Source organism: Homo sapiens, chromosome 14 (genome assembly GCF_000001405.40).
Source record: "Homo sapiens chromosome 14, GRCh38.p14 Primary Assembly".
NCBI classification, from domain to species: domain Eukaryota; kingdom Metazoa; phylum Chordata; class Mammalia; order Primates; family Hominidae; genus Homo; species Homo sapiens.
Window position 1 is genome coordinate 101,299,939 of NC_000014.9, and position 13,953 is coordinate 101,313,891.

The following is a 13,953-nucleotide window of genomic DNA, read 5'->3' on the forward strand; positions in this document are numbered from 1 at the left end:
AGCTTATCTTTACAGGTGCAGTCACCCCGGCCCACCAGACACGACTGCATATCTGATTGTTCCCCTGCCCCATTGTGTCTATGTTATCTCATGTAAAATCCAGATTCTCTGCATTTTTCCTCTGCCCCATTTGTCTGTGTCATCTTATGTAAAAAAAAAAAAAAAAAAAAAATGCAGATTCACTGAGCCAGACAAAGGCATGAATGATTCTTTTTCCCTACCTGCTTTTTACACGAAAATCGTGTACTTCTCAATATTTCACCCTTTCTCCTTTAAATTTAGAGCCCTCAAAATTATCTTCAAAGAAAGACATAGAACTGTCTCCCGGGCGCACATCCTTAACTTTGGCAAATAAATCTCTTAAAATGATTGAGACTTGTCTCATCATTTTTCTTGATCAACATCACACAATAGTAACTTTTCTTGAACATAAACTGCAATAAATTAAGCATGCATATCATAAATCCTAGATCAAGCTTTAAAAAGCATAAAGCAAAGGTATAACTGATAAGCCTAAAAAGCATAAAGCAAAGGTATAACTGATAAGCCTATAGATGAGAGCAAATGGAATGCTAAAATGAATCCAAAAGAATACAGGAAAAAGGAAGAACAGGAACAAAGGACGTAGAATGAGGTATAATGAGGTTGGGAAAGAGAAAACAAATAGCAAGATTATAGAATTAAATTTAAAATATAAATGGTCTAAATTAAAAAGCAAAGATTATTAGACTTAATAAAAAAGTAATACTGGAGACTTCCAATTTTAGCTCTGACATGTAAAGTATTTGAAAACAATCACTCCCATCTTTACTACAAAGAAAAAGGCTGAACAAAGTGAAAATCAGTGCCTTTGTTGGACCCATCAGAGAATTGAGGTCCCAGGGAAGACTCCACTCAGAAATGGGAGAGACAGGAGAATACAGAGGCTCACAGCTGAGATCTGCTTACCTGGAGCAAAAGCCACTGGAGTCATAAACTGGTGGGAACATATTAATGGTAATTGGGACAAATTTCCAGCAGCTGAATGTGGACTGGCATAAGAGTGAGACATTTCTGGGGGTCACATTCCTAGCTACCCCTCCTCCACTTGATTAGGTTTTATTTTTAATCCCACTGAGTTTTCACTGTGAATAGCCACAAAAAAAATCCCCTCACATCTCAATCAGGGAGAGGGGAAAATTAACCATTTTGAAATAGTCTCAGAGCATGTCCGTAACAAAGGCCTACTCAGCAGGGGAAAGAACTTTATCAGAGCCTTATTTCAGGAGCCAGGCCAATTTCCAAACTCCTACCCCCTCTGGTCTTCCTGTCTTACCTAAGCTGGGGAGAAAAGGGCAAAGCTAAGAAACACTTGTGAAAGTCACAACCCAGGGACATAAACTCATTAAAAGCCAAAAGCATAATCATAAGATGATAGAATGTTTTCCCTTCCCATACTCGACAACCACATCAACAGGGCTACAATGTAATAATGATGAATTACAGGTGAGAGAGCTAGAAAGCACAGAGTGTATTTAAGAAATAGTTCTTAGAGAAACAGAAAGACAATGAGAGAGAAAAAAACAAAAACCCTAGAGGAATTTGAAGCCTCTGGAATTTACAACTACATCAAACATTAAACACAGTTCAGCTCCTAGCCAGATTAACCTAAAACTTCACACTAAAGGCTGAATGTCTCAGTTATTATAACCAGATACATTGTGTTGGGCTTTTATTTTTTTTAATTAGAAGATATTCTAAAAGGTAAGGAAAAACAAGATCAAACTATATGCTGTCTATAAAAATCCCAGTTTAAGTATACAGGCACACATAGATGAAAATAAAAGAATGGGAAAGGAGATATCACACAGACACTAATAACAAGAAAACTGGGGTGTTTGTGTGCATAGTAGACCAAAAAAACTTCAGGACCAGGGATATTCCCAGAAAAAGATAGGGACAGTTTACAATGACAAAATGTTTAGTTCAAGATATACACAACAAAGACATGTATGCTCCTAATAACAGAGCTTTAAAATATGTATAGCAAAAAAACAGACAAAACTAAAAGAAGAAATGAAAATGAACAATTAATTTGAGATTTTCATCCACCTCTCTTAGTAACTGAGAGAAAAGTATAAAGAGAATTTCTAAAGATTAAGGTTAAGAATTACATTAGACTTTTCTTCAGAAAGTACATTAGCAAGAAGAGTTGGAGTTAAACATTTTAAGTTTGAAAGAAAAAAATCCAACAACCTAAAATTTTGTATCTAGTGAAGTTATCCTCCAAAAGTAAAGAAAAAATGTTGCAGACAAAAAAAAATTGAGGGAATTTGCCACCATTAGACTTGCCTTGAAAGAAATGTTAAAAAGAAGTTCTTTAGAGAGAAGGAAAATGAAATAGGTCAGAAACTTGAGTCAACATAAAGAAGTGTGTTAGAGAATGAATACGTAATGGTAAAGTAAAATCTTTTATTTTTCTTATTCTTAATTGATCTTGCAAACAACAATTTGTTCAAAATAATAGCAACAATATATTTACTGATTATACTTTAGAATAAGTGAAATGAACAGCAGCAATGTTTTAAGGGACAGGAGGGAGGAATTGAGAGTGGTCTATTACAAAGTACCTGCACTCCCTAGGAAACAGTATAGCGTTATTTGAAGACGAATTTGGATTAGCTGCAAATGTACATTGCAAACTCTAGAACAGCCATTTTTAAAAGTAAAAGAAAAAAAGAAAGGAAGACATGGTAGTCCCCCCTTATCCATGGGGGATGCATTGCAAGATCCCAAGTGTATGCCTGAAACCGTGGATACTACTGAACCCTATATAGACTATGGTTGTTTTTCCTATACATACATACCTAAGATGAAGTTTAGTTTATACATTACACACAGTAAGAGATTAACAACAATAACTAATAATAAAATAGAACAATTATAACAATACACTGTAATAAAAGTTATGTGAATATTGTCTGACTCTCAAAATATTTTATTGGACTGCACTCACCTACTTTTAGACTGTGGTTGAGGGTGGGTAACTGAAATCACAGAAAGCAAACCTGTGGATAAGTGGGGGAATATTTTAATTAGTATTCTAAGAGAGGAGAGAAAATAGAATCACACAAAATGCTTGGTTAAAACTAGAGAAGGCAGAAGAAGAGTGAAAGACAAAAAGAAACAGAAAACAAGGACAAGGAATAGAAAACCGTGACACATGTGATAGATATTAATCCAAACATCACTAGTCACTTCAAATGCCAGTGGTCCAAATACTTCAGTTAAAAGGCAGACTGTCTGAGTGAATTAAAAAAAAATCAATAAACTTGCTTTAAATATAAAGACTCAGATAGATTAAAAGTAACAGGATGGAGAAAGTTATACCATGCTAATACTATTCAATGGAAAGCTGGAGTTGCTATATTAGTTTTAGACAAAGCAGCCTTCAGAGCAAGGAAAATTATCAGAGGTAAAGAATGGCACTGGATAATGATAAAGGAGTCCGTTCTCTGATAAGAAATAGCAATCTCTAATGTGTAAGAACAGAGTGTCATATACTTGGAGCAAAATCTGATAGAATAGCAAGAAGATGTAGAAGACTCCACTGTCACATGTGGAGACTTGAACACCACTCAGTAATGGACATATCAAGCAGACTGAAAATCAGTAAGGACATAGTTGAACATAACAGCACTATCATTCAGCCAGTTTACTGGATATCTATAGAATATTTTGTTAAGCGACAGCAAAATACATTCTTCTCAAGTTCACGTGGAACATTCACCAAGATAGACCAAATTCTAAGCCCTGACACACCTCAACAAGTTTAAAAGAATGGAAAAATAAAATATGCTCTCTGAACACAATAAAACTAGAAATCAATAACAGAAAGACAATTGGAAAATTAAAAAATACCTGGAGATTAAACAACACACTTCTAAATAACACGTCAGTTAAAGAAAAAGGTCTCCAGAGAAATTAAGCAATATTTTGAAATAAATGAAAATGAAAATACAACTTATCAAAATTTGTGAGATGCAACAAAAGCAGTGTTTAGAAGAAAGTTTATGGCATTGAAATAAGGCATTTTAGAAAAGAAGAAAGATCTGAAACAAATCATCTAAGTTTCCACCTCAAGAAACTAGAAAAGAACTAATTAAAAACAGAGTAGACAGAAAAAATTAACTAAAGCAGACATCAATGAAACTGAAATCAGGAACCTACTAGAGAAAATCAACAAAACCAAAAGCTGGTTCTTTAAAAAAAAAAAACCTATGAAATTGATAAACCTCTAGCCAAGTTAACAAAGAAAGAAATGAGACACAAATTATTAGCATTAGAAATAAAATAGAGGCCACTGCTACTGATTCTAAAGGAATATTGTAAAGGATAATAATAGAATGTTATTACCATAACAACTCTGTGCCCACAAATATAATAACCTAGAAGAAATAGATCAATTTCTTAAAGATGCAATCTACCAAAACTTACACAAGAAAGAATAGATAATATGAATAGGTATGTATGCATTAAAGGAATTGAATCAATAAATAACTACCTTCCAAACAGAAAGAACTAGGTCTGAATGGGTTCACTGATGAACTCTACCAAACATTTAAGGAAGAAATGATAGTAATTTTCTATGATGTCTTCCAGATAATAGAAGCAAAAGGAATGTTTTGTAACTCATTCTATAAAGCCAGCATTACTCTAAAACCAAAACCAGACAAAGACACAAGGAGGGAAAGCCATAAGCCAATAGCTTTCGTAAACATAGGTGCAAAAATCTTCGATGAAAAATTAGCAAGTCAAATCCAACAATGCATAAAAAGAATTATATACCACAACCGAGTGGGATTTATCTCAGGTACACAAAACTGGTTCAGCATTTGAAAATCTAGTCATGTAATCCATCACCTCAACAGGCTTAAGAAGAAAAATCACATGATCATATCAGCAGATTCAGAAAAAGCATCTAACAAAATCCAACACCCATTCATGATAAAAGCTCTCAGCAAAGATGACTAGAGGGGAACTTGATAAGGAACCCACAGCTGTCAAAGCTCAACAAAAAGCCAACAGTGGTTGCACTTAAAGTTGAGAAACTTGAAGCTTCCCTGCTAAGATCAGGAGCAAGGTAAGAATGCCCTCCTCAACACTGCTTTCCTTTTTTTTTAATTTAAATTTTGGTTTTTAATTGATAATATGAACCTCGAAAATCTGAGACAGGTCTCAGTTAATTTAGAAAGTTTATTTTGCCAAGTTTGAGGTCACAAGGCTGTGACCCAGCCTCAGGAGGTCCTGATGACATGTGTCCAAGGTGGTCAGTTTCACGCACGTCCCTGTGAAGAGACCACCAAACAGGCTTTGTGTGAGCAACAAGGCTGTTTATTTCACCTGGGTGCAGGCGGGCTGAGTCCGAAAACAGTGTCAGGGAAGGGAGATAGGGGTGGGGCCATTTTATAGGATTTGGGTAGGTAGTGGAAAATTACAGTCAAAGGGGGTTGTTTTATGGCTGGCAGGGGTGGAGGTCACAAGGTGCTGAGTTGGGGAGCTTTTGAACCAGGATGAGCCAGGAGAAGGAATTTCACAAGGTAATGTCATCAGTTAAGGCAGGAACAGGCCATTTTCACTTCTTTTGTGATTCTTCAGTTACTTCAGGCCATCTGGATGTATATGTGCAGGTCACAGGGGATACGATGGCTTAGCTTGGGCTCAGAGGCCTGACATTCCTGCCTTCTTATATTAATAAGAAAAATAACATAAAATAGTATTGAAGTGTTGGGGCAGTGAAAATTTTGGGGGGGTGGCATGGAGAGATAATGGGCGATGTTTCTCAGGGCTGCTTCAAGCGGGATTAGGGGTGGCGTGGGAACCCAGAGTGGGAGAGATTCAGCTGAAGGAAGATTTCGTGGTAAGGGGTGATATTGCAGGGTTGTTAGAAGGAGCATTTGTCATATAGAATAATTGGTGATGGCCTGGATGTTGTTTTGTATGAATTGAAAAACTAAGCGGAAGACACAAGGTCCGAATAAGAGAAGGAGAAAAACTGGTATTAAAGGACTACGAATTGGGAGGACACAGGACATCCAATTAGAGAGTGCCCAAGGAGGTTCAGCATAGCCCTGCCAGCAAAGATTATTGATTTACTTTAAGAGGGAGTTAAGAGTGGTGGTTTGGGGATAGCACCAGGAGATATCAGCTGTGATGGCCTGGAGAAACAGTGTAAACCGGCAGTGTAAACAAGAGCAGGGCATTTATGAGTAGTTGAGAACAGTGAATAAGAGTATGACTAGGCAGAAGATAGTACAGATAACAAGTTTTTGGGGCACAGTCCAAGTTGGGCTGCTGTCTGGAATAAGACTGGGGCCTAATAAAAAGGAGTGTCTATATAGGAGCTCAAATGGGCTGTACCCTGTAGCATTCCAAGGACACGCCCGAATTTTGAGAAGGGAAAGTGGTAAAAGTATTGTCTAGTCCTTTTTAAGTTGGTGGCTGAGCTCGGGGAGGTGTGTTTTTAAAAGACCATTAGTCTGTTCCATTCTACCTTTCCTGAAGATTGAGGATGGTAAGGGGTATGAAGGTTCCACTGAATACCAAGAGCCTGAGAAACTGCTTGGGTGATTTGACTAATAAAGGCCGGTCCGTTATTGGACGGTATAGAGGTAGGAAGGCCAAACTGAGGAATTATGTCTGACAGAAGGGAAGAAATGACTGCGGTGGCCTTCTCAGACCCTGTGGGAAAGGCCTCTACCCATCCAGTGAAAGTGTCTATCTAGACCGAGACGTATTTTAGTTTCCTGACTCAGGGCATGTGAGTAAAGTCAATTTGCCAGTCCTGGGCAAGGGCAAATCCCCGAGCTTGATGTGTAGGGAAGGGAGGGGCCCTGAACAATCCCTGAGGAGTAGTAGAACAGCAGATGGAACACTGAGAAGTGATTTCCTTGAGGATAGATTTCCACGATGGAAAGGAAATGAGAGGTTCTAAGAGGCAGACTAGCAGCTTATAACCTACATGGAAGAGGTTATGAAATGACGACAGAATAGAATGGGCCTGTGAGGCTGGAAGGAGATATGTTCCTTGGTCCAAGAACCATTTGCCTTGTGTGGGAAGAGATTGATAGGTGGAAGTTTCAGTAGGGGAGTAAGTGGGAGTGACCGATGAGAAGGAGAAAAACTGCCATGAGGGAGAGAAGTTGGAACGCTAGCTGCTTCTTTAGCTACCTTATCAGCATAAGCGTTGCCCTGAGCAATGGGATCTGATGCCTTTTGATGGCCCTTGCAGTGAATGACTCCAGCTTCCTTTGGAAGTAAAGCGGCTTTGAGAAGAGTTTTTATTAAAGAGGCATTAATGATGGAGGACCCTTGTGTAGTGAAGAAATTTCTTTCTGCCCATATAACAGCATGGTGGGGCAGGATATGGAAGGCATAGTTAGAGTCAGTATAAATATTGACAAGTAGTCCTTTTGCAAGAGTAGGGCTTGAGTTAAGGAAATGAGTTTGGCTTGCTGAGAGGTAGTGGAGGGGAGCAGAAAGTATATGTGTCAGGTGTGAGGAAGAAAATAGATTTTGGAAGTTATGAGAACTGTAGAGAGTGACTGTAGAGAGTTGAGCATAGTTTGTGATTTTTAGGACCTCTAAAAGTATTAAGGCAGCGGCAGCCACCGCACACAGACATGAGGACTAGGCTAAAACAGTAAAGTCAAGTTGTTTGGATAAAGAGGCCACAGGGCATGGTCCCAGTCCTTGTGTAAGAATTTTGACTGCACAGCCCTGCACTTCAGCTGTGTTAATGAAAAAGGGTTGGGATGAGTTAGGGAGAGCTAGTGTGGGAGCAGCTTCTAGGGCTGTTTTTAAGGAATGGAAAGGAGTGGCGAAAGGATTTGGGATCTGTGGGGTCAGCCAGGTTTGCTTTTGTGAGTTTATATAATGGTTTAGTCAGGATGGAAAAACGAGGTATCCAAAGGTGGAAGTACCTAACCATGCCTAGGAAGGAAAGGAGTTGTCATTTTGTAGAAGGGGTCAGGGTTTGGGAGATTAGCTGGACACGATCAGCAGGGAGAGCACGTGTGTTTTTATGAGAACTATGTCGAGATAGGTAACACATGAGGAAGAAATTTGGGCTTGACTGAAGTAATGGGGGCTGTCTGTGAAGCCTTGCGGGAGTACAGCCCAGGTAATTTGCTGAGCCTGATGGGTGTCAGGGTCAGTCCAAGTGAAAGCGAAGAAAGACTGGGATGAAGGGTGCAAAGGAATAGTAAAGAAAGCATGTTTGAGATCCAGAACAGAATAACGGGTTGTGGAGGGAGGTATTGAGGATAGGAGAGTATATGGGTTTGGCACCATGGGGGGGATAGGCAAAACAATTTGGTTGATAAGGTGCGGATCCTGAACTAACCTGTAAGGCTTGTCTGGTTTTTGGACAGGTAAAATGGGGGAATTGTAAGGAGAGTTTATAGGTTTTAGAAGCCCATGCTGTAGCAGGTGAGTCATCACAGGCTTCAGTCCCTTTAAAGCCTGTTGTGGGATGGGATACTAGTGTTGAGCAGGGTAAGGTTGATTAGGTTTTAATGGGATAATGGGCTGGTGATCAGTTGCCAGGGAGGGAGTAGAGGTGTCCCATACTTGTGGGTTAAGGTGGGGGGATATGAGAAGAAGGCATGAAGGAGGCTTTGGGTTGGGAAGAAGGGTGGCAATGAGATGTGGCTGTAGTCCAGGAATAGTCAGGGAAGCAGATAATTCAGTTAAAATGTCTCAGCCTAATAAGAGAACTGGGCAGGTAGGGATAACTAAAAAAGAATGCATAAAAGAATGTTGTCCAAGTTAGCACCAGAGTGGGGGAGTCTTAAGGGGTTTAGAAGCCTGGCTGCCAATACCCACAACAGTTATGGAGGCAAGGGAAACGGGCCCTTGAAAAGAAGGTAATGTGGAGTACGTAGCCTCTGTATTGATTAAGAAGGGGACAGACTTACCCTCCACTGTAAGAGTTACCTAGAGCTTCTGTGATGGTCCAGGAAGCTTCTAAGGTGATTGGGCAGCGTCAGTCTTCAGCCGCTAAGCCAAGAAGATCTGGGAAGGAGCTAGTCAGAGCCTTAGGCCAGTTGGACAGTCCAGTTTCCACTGGGGTCCCACACAGATGGGACACGGCTTAGGAGGAATCCTGGGCTGCGGGCATTCCTTGGCCCGGTGGCCAGATTTCCAGCACTTGAAGCAAGATCCTGGGGGAGGAAGTCCTGAAGGAATGCCTGGCCGCTGTGGCTTAGGCGTTTTGAAGTCCTTGTGTGCTGGAGATGTGGCTGGGGTTTCTCTCACAGCAGAGGCAAGTAATTGCAACTCTTCTCTATTATTGTACACCCTGAAGGCAAGGTTAATTAAGTCATGTTGTGGGGTTTGAGGGCTGGAATTTAATTTTTGGAGTTTTATTTAATGTCGGGAGCAGATTGGGTAATAAAATGTATTTTGAGGATAAGATGGGCTTTTGACCTTTTAGGGTCTAGGGCTGTAAAGCGTCTCAGGATTGCTGCCAAACAAGCCATGAACTGGGCTGGGTATTTATATTTGATAAAAAGAGCCTAAGCGCTAACTGATTTGGGAGAGGCCGGATAAAGAAAAAGGAGCATTCACCTTGACTATGCCTTCAGCTCCAGCCACCTTTTTAAGAGGAAATTGCTGGGCAGGTAGGGGAGGGCTAGTGGCAGAACAAAACTATAAGCGGGACTGGGTGTGAGGAGGGGAGGTGATAAAAGGATTATAGGGTTGGGGAGCGGAGGCCGAGGAAGAATTGGGACCTGGCTTGGCCTGGCGAGGAGCAGCCTGGGGAGGAGGGGAGAGGTCAGATGGGTCCATAAAAAAGGAAGATTGGAAAGACTCAGCAACACTTGGGGTCGGGACTGAGGGGACAGGTGGGAGGGAAAGAAGGAAGATTTGGGACAAGTTGCATTGGGAACAGAGACCAGGGAGGGACCAATGTGTAAAACAATGCCTGGACATCAGGCACCTCAGACCATTTGCCCATTTTACACCAAGAATTATCCAGATCTTATAGGATGGAGAGATAGAAAGTGCTGTTTTCCGGCTATTTGGAACCATTGTCGATTTTGTATTGGGGTCAAGCGGTGTTGCAGAAGAAAATAAGGCATTTAGGTTTTAGGTCAGGTGTGAGTCGAAGAGGTTTTAAGTTCTTGAGAACACAGGCTAAGGGAGAAGAAGGAGGAATGGAGGGTGGAAGGTTGCCTATAGTGAAGGAGGCGAGTTCAGAGAAAAGAGAGGGTAGAGACACAGAGAGAAGGGGTGGGAGGTGCTTGTCCCCCAGGAAAGTGGAAAAGGGGTGGGAGGTGCTTGCCCCCCAGGAAAGTGGAGAGAAAAGAGAGAGTAGAGGCATGGAGAGAATGGGTGGGGTGAGCAGCCCTGGGCTGCAATGTGGGTGAGCAGCCAAAGCAGGCGTCCCTGCAATTGACTTGCCACCAAGGGAATGTGAGTGAATGACCAAGGCAGGCGTCCCTGCGGTGATCAGATACCAATGAAATGTGGGTGAATAATCAGGCAGGCGTCCCTGCAGTGATTAAACACCAAGGGAAGACTGTCTTCCCGAGTCTGTGACCGGTGCTGGAGTTTTGCGTCCACGGATAAAATGCATCTCCTTTGTCTCTACCAGGAAAGGAAAGGAACTGAAATTAACAGAAGGGAGAGATTGAAGTGTGGCACCAAGATTGAAAGGAGAAAGAGGTTGAGGGATAGTGAGAGAAGTTAGAGAAGAGAGTAAAGAGAGGTCACTTACCGGATTTAAAATTGGTGAGATGTTCCTTGGGCTGGTTGGTCTGAGGATCCGAGGTCATAGGTGGATCTTTCTCATGGAGCAAAGAGCAGGAGGACAGGGGATTGATCTCCCAAGGGTGGTCCCCCAATCCGAGTCACGGCACCAAATTTCACTCGCGTCTGTATGAAGAGACCACCAAACAGGCTTTGTGTGAGCAACAAGGCTGTTTATTTCACCTGGGTGCAGGCGGGCTGAATCCGAAAAGAGAGTCAGGGAAGGGAGATAGGGGTGGGGCCGTTTTATAGGATTTAGGTAGGTAGTGGAAAATTACAGTCAAAGGGGGTTGTTTTATGGCTGGCAGGGGTGGGGGTCACAAGGTGCTCAGTGGGGGAGCTTTTGAGCCAGGATGAGCCAGGAGAAGGAATTTCACAAGGTAATATCATCAGTTAAGGCAGGACCAGACTATTTTCACTTCTTTTGTGATTCTTCAGTTACTTTAGGCCATCTGGATATATACTTCCAGGTCACATGGGATACGATGGCTTAGCTTGTGCTCAGAGCCCTGACAGTCAGAACACAGCTTGGTTTTATACATTTTAGGGAGACATGAGACATCAATCAACATATGTAAAATGAACATTGGTTTGGTCCAGAATCTAAGCAAAAGTGGGACAACTCTAAGCGGGGAGGCTACTTCCAGGTCACAAGTAGGTGAGAGACAAACGGTTGCATTCTTCTGGGTTTCTGATGAGCCTCTCCGAAGGAGGCAATCAGATATGCATTTATTTCAGTGAGCAGAGGGATGACTTTGAATAGAATGGGAGGCAGGTTTGCCGTAAGCAGTTCCCAGTTTGACTTTTCCCTTTCGCTTAGTGATTTTGGGGGCCCAAGATATTTTTCTTTCGCAATAAATAATAATTATTTACATTTATACAACTGATTTTTAACATTGTACTGAAAGTCCTAGCTAATGCAATAAGACAAGGAAAGAAAATAAAAGGCATACAGATTAGAAAGGAAGAAATTAAAGTGCCTTTTTTTTACGATGACGTGATTGTGTCCGTAGAAAATCCCCCACATCAAAAAACCCTCCTGAGACTAATAAATGATTGTAACAAGGTTGCAAGATGCAAGATTAATACATACAAGTCATTGCTTTTCTATATATCAATAATGAATAGTTGAAATTTGATATTAAAAAGATAATAATTAGCACCAAGAAAAATGAAATACTTAGGTACAAATCTAACAACACATGTTCAAAATCTATGTGAGAAGAACTACAAAACTCTAATGAAATAAATAAAAGATCTAAATAAATGGAAAGATATTCCATGTTTATGGATAGAAAGACATGATATTGTTATCAGTTCTTCCCAATTTGATCTATAGATTCAGTGCAATCCCAATAAAAATCTCAGCAAGTTACTTGGTGAATATTGACAATCACATTCTTCAACTTAGACTGAAAGGCAAGGCTCAGAATAGTTAATATAACATCCAGGAGGAAAACTTAGAGGACCTGAAGACTTGCTACAAAGCTGCAGTAACAGACAGTGTGGTATTGGCAAAATAATAGACAAACAGAGCAATGGAACAGATCAGAGAGCCCAGGAATAGGCTCTATAAATATAATCGACTGATCTTTGACAAAAGAGCAAAGGCAACCTAATGGAGAAAGATAGTCTTTTCAATAAGTGGTGCTGTGATGACCAGACACACATGCCAACAAATGCATATAGACACAGACTTACACCCTTCACAAAAAATAAGTCAAAATGGGATCATAAACCTAAGTGTAAACCACAAAACTATTAAACTTGTAAGGATAACATAAGAGAAAGCCTAAGTGTTTGGTGATGACTTTTTAGATACGACACCAAAAGCATGATCCATGAAAGAAAAAATTGGTAAGTTTGGCTTCATTAAAATTCATCACATCTGGTTGTGAGAGTTACTGCTAAGGGATGAAAAGACAAGCCACGTACTGGGGTAAAAAGATGTTCAAACCACACGTCTGATAAAGGACTCGTGTCTAAAACACAAAAAACTAAAACTCAACGATAAGAAAACAACCCAATTAAAAATGGTCAAGAGATCTGGACAGACACCTCGTCAAAGAAGATATACAAAGCAGAGATGGATTAATAAACTATGGTACATGCATACAGTGGAATATTATTTAGCAATGAAAAGAATTGAGCTAATTAAGCCATGAAAAGACATATTAAAAGCATATTAGTAAGGGAAATAAATCAATCTGAAAAGGCTACCTACTGCGTGATTTCAACTGAATGACATTCTAGAAAAGGCAAAACTATGGAGACAGTAAAAAGATCTGTGGTTGCCAGGGATTTGGAGGAACGAAAGGAGGGATGAAGAAGTGAGCTTACTGTAATGATGGATACTTGACATTATCACTGGTCAAAACCCACAGAATGCACACCACCAAGAGTGAACCCTAATGTAAACTGTGCATTTTGATTAATAATAATGTATCAATTGGCTCATCAATTACAACAAAGGTACCATGCTAATGCAAGATAGAAATCATTGAGGAAATTGTGCTTGGGCATATTTGGGAACTTTATATACTTTCTGGTCAATTTTTCTGTAAAATCAAAACTACTCTTAAAAAAAAAAGTCTACTAATTAAAGAGAAAAAAAGTCTCTAAGATTAATCTCCAGTCCCCGGACCTGCATTTAGAGCCCTGCACAGCAATGGGACACCAGCTGTGACCTCCTGTGGCCTTCTGTTGTGGAGAGAGGCCCCTGTGTGAGTGGCTCTGTGTCTGACGCCCCTACAGGGTGGTCTGCACACTGCATCCCTGGCCTGCGGTGTCCATGGAGGGCCACTGGGTATCAAGCCAAGACACCTGCCCCGACCTGCTTCTCCCTGGGCTCTCTCTCCTGTGGAGCCCCCTCCATCTGCCCCCAAGTTGGTTTCATCCCCAACAACAGGCGACATGGTGGGGGAGGCTTCCCGTGGGCTGCTCTCTCAGGCAGCTCCTTGAAGCTGGTGTTTTGCTGCCTTCATGGCTCTTCCTTCATTGTTCTTATCTATTACTTCTTCCTGCTGCCCATTGCAGGCACGCAGAACGCTCTCCAGGGCTGATAGTTTGCGGACTGGAGGGCAAGGAACCTTGCCCTGTCCTCTACCACCTTTCACATCCCTCCCCGATACAAACCTTCCCAGTTTGTTGGGGGCACAG

The 13,953-nt window shown here is 41.0% G+C and overlaps 1 annotated feature.

The window, feature by feature from the left end:
* Nucleotides 5,345-5,846: an enhancer, noted in NCBI's record as "NANOG hESC enhancer chr14:101771620-101772121 (GRCh37/hg19 assembly coordinates)". NCBI's record gives its function as "activates a minimal SCP1, AML or CMV promoter by ChIP-STARR-seq in naive H9 embryonic stem cells {active_cell/tissue: H9 hESC(naive)}" and the evidence as "EXISTENCE:reporter gene assay evidence [ECO:0000049][PMID:30033119]".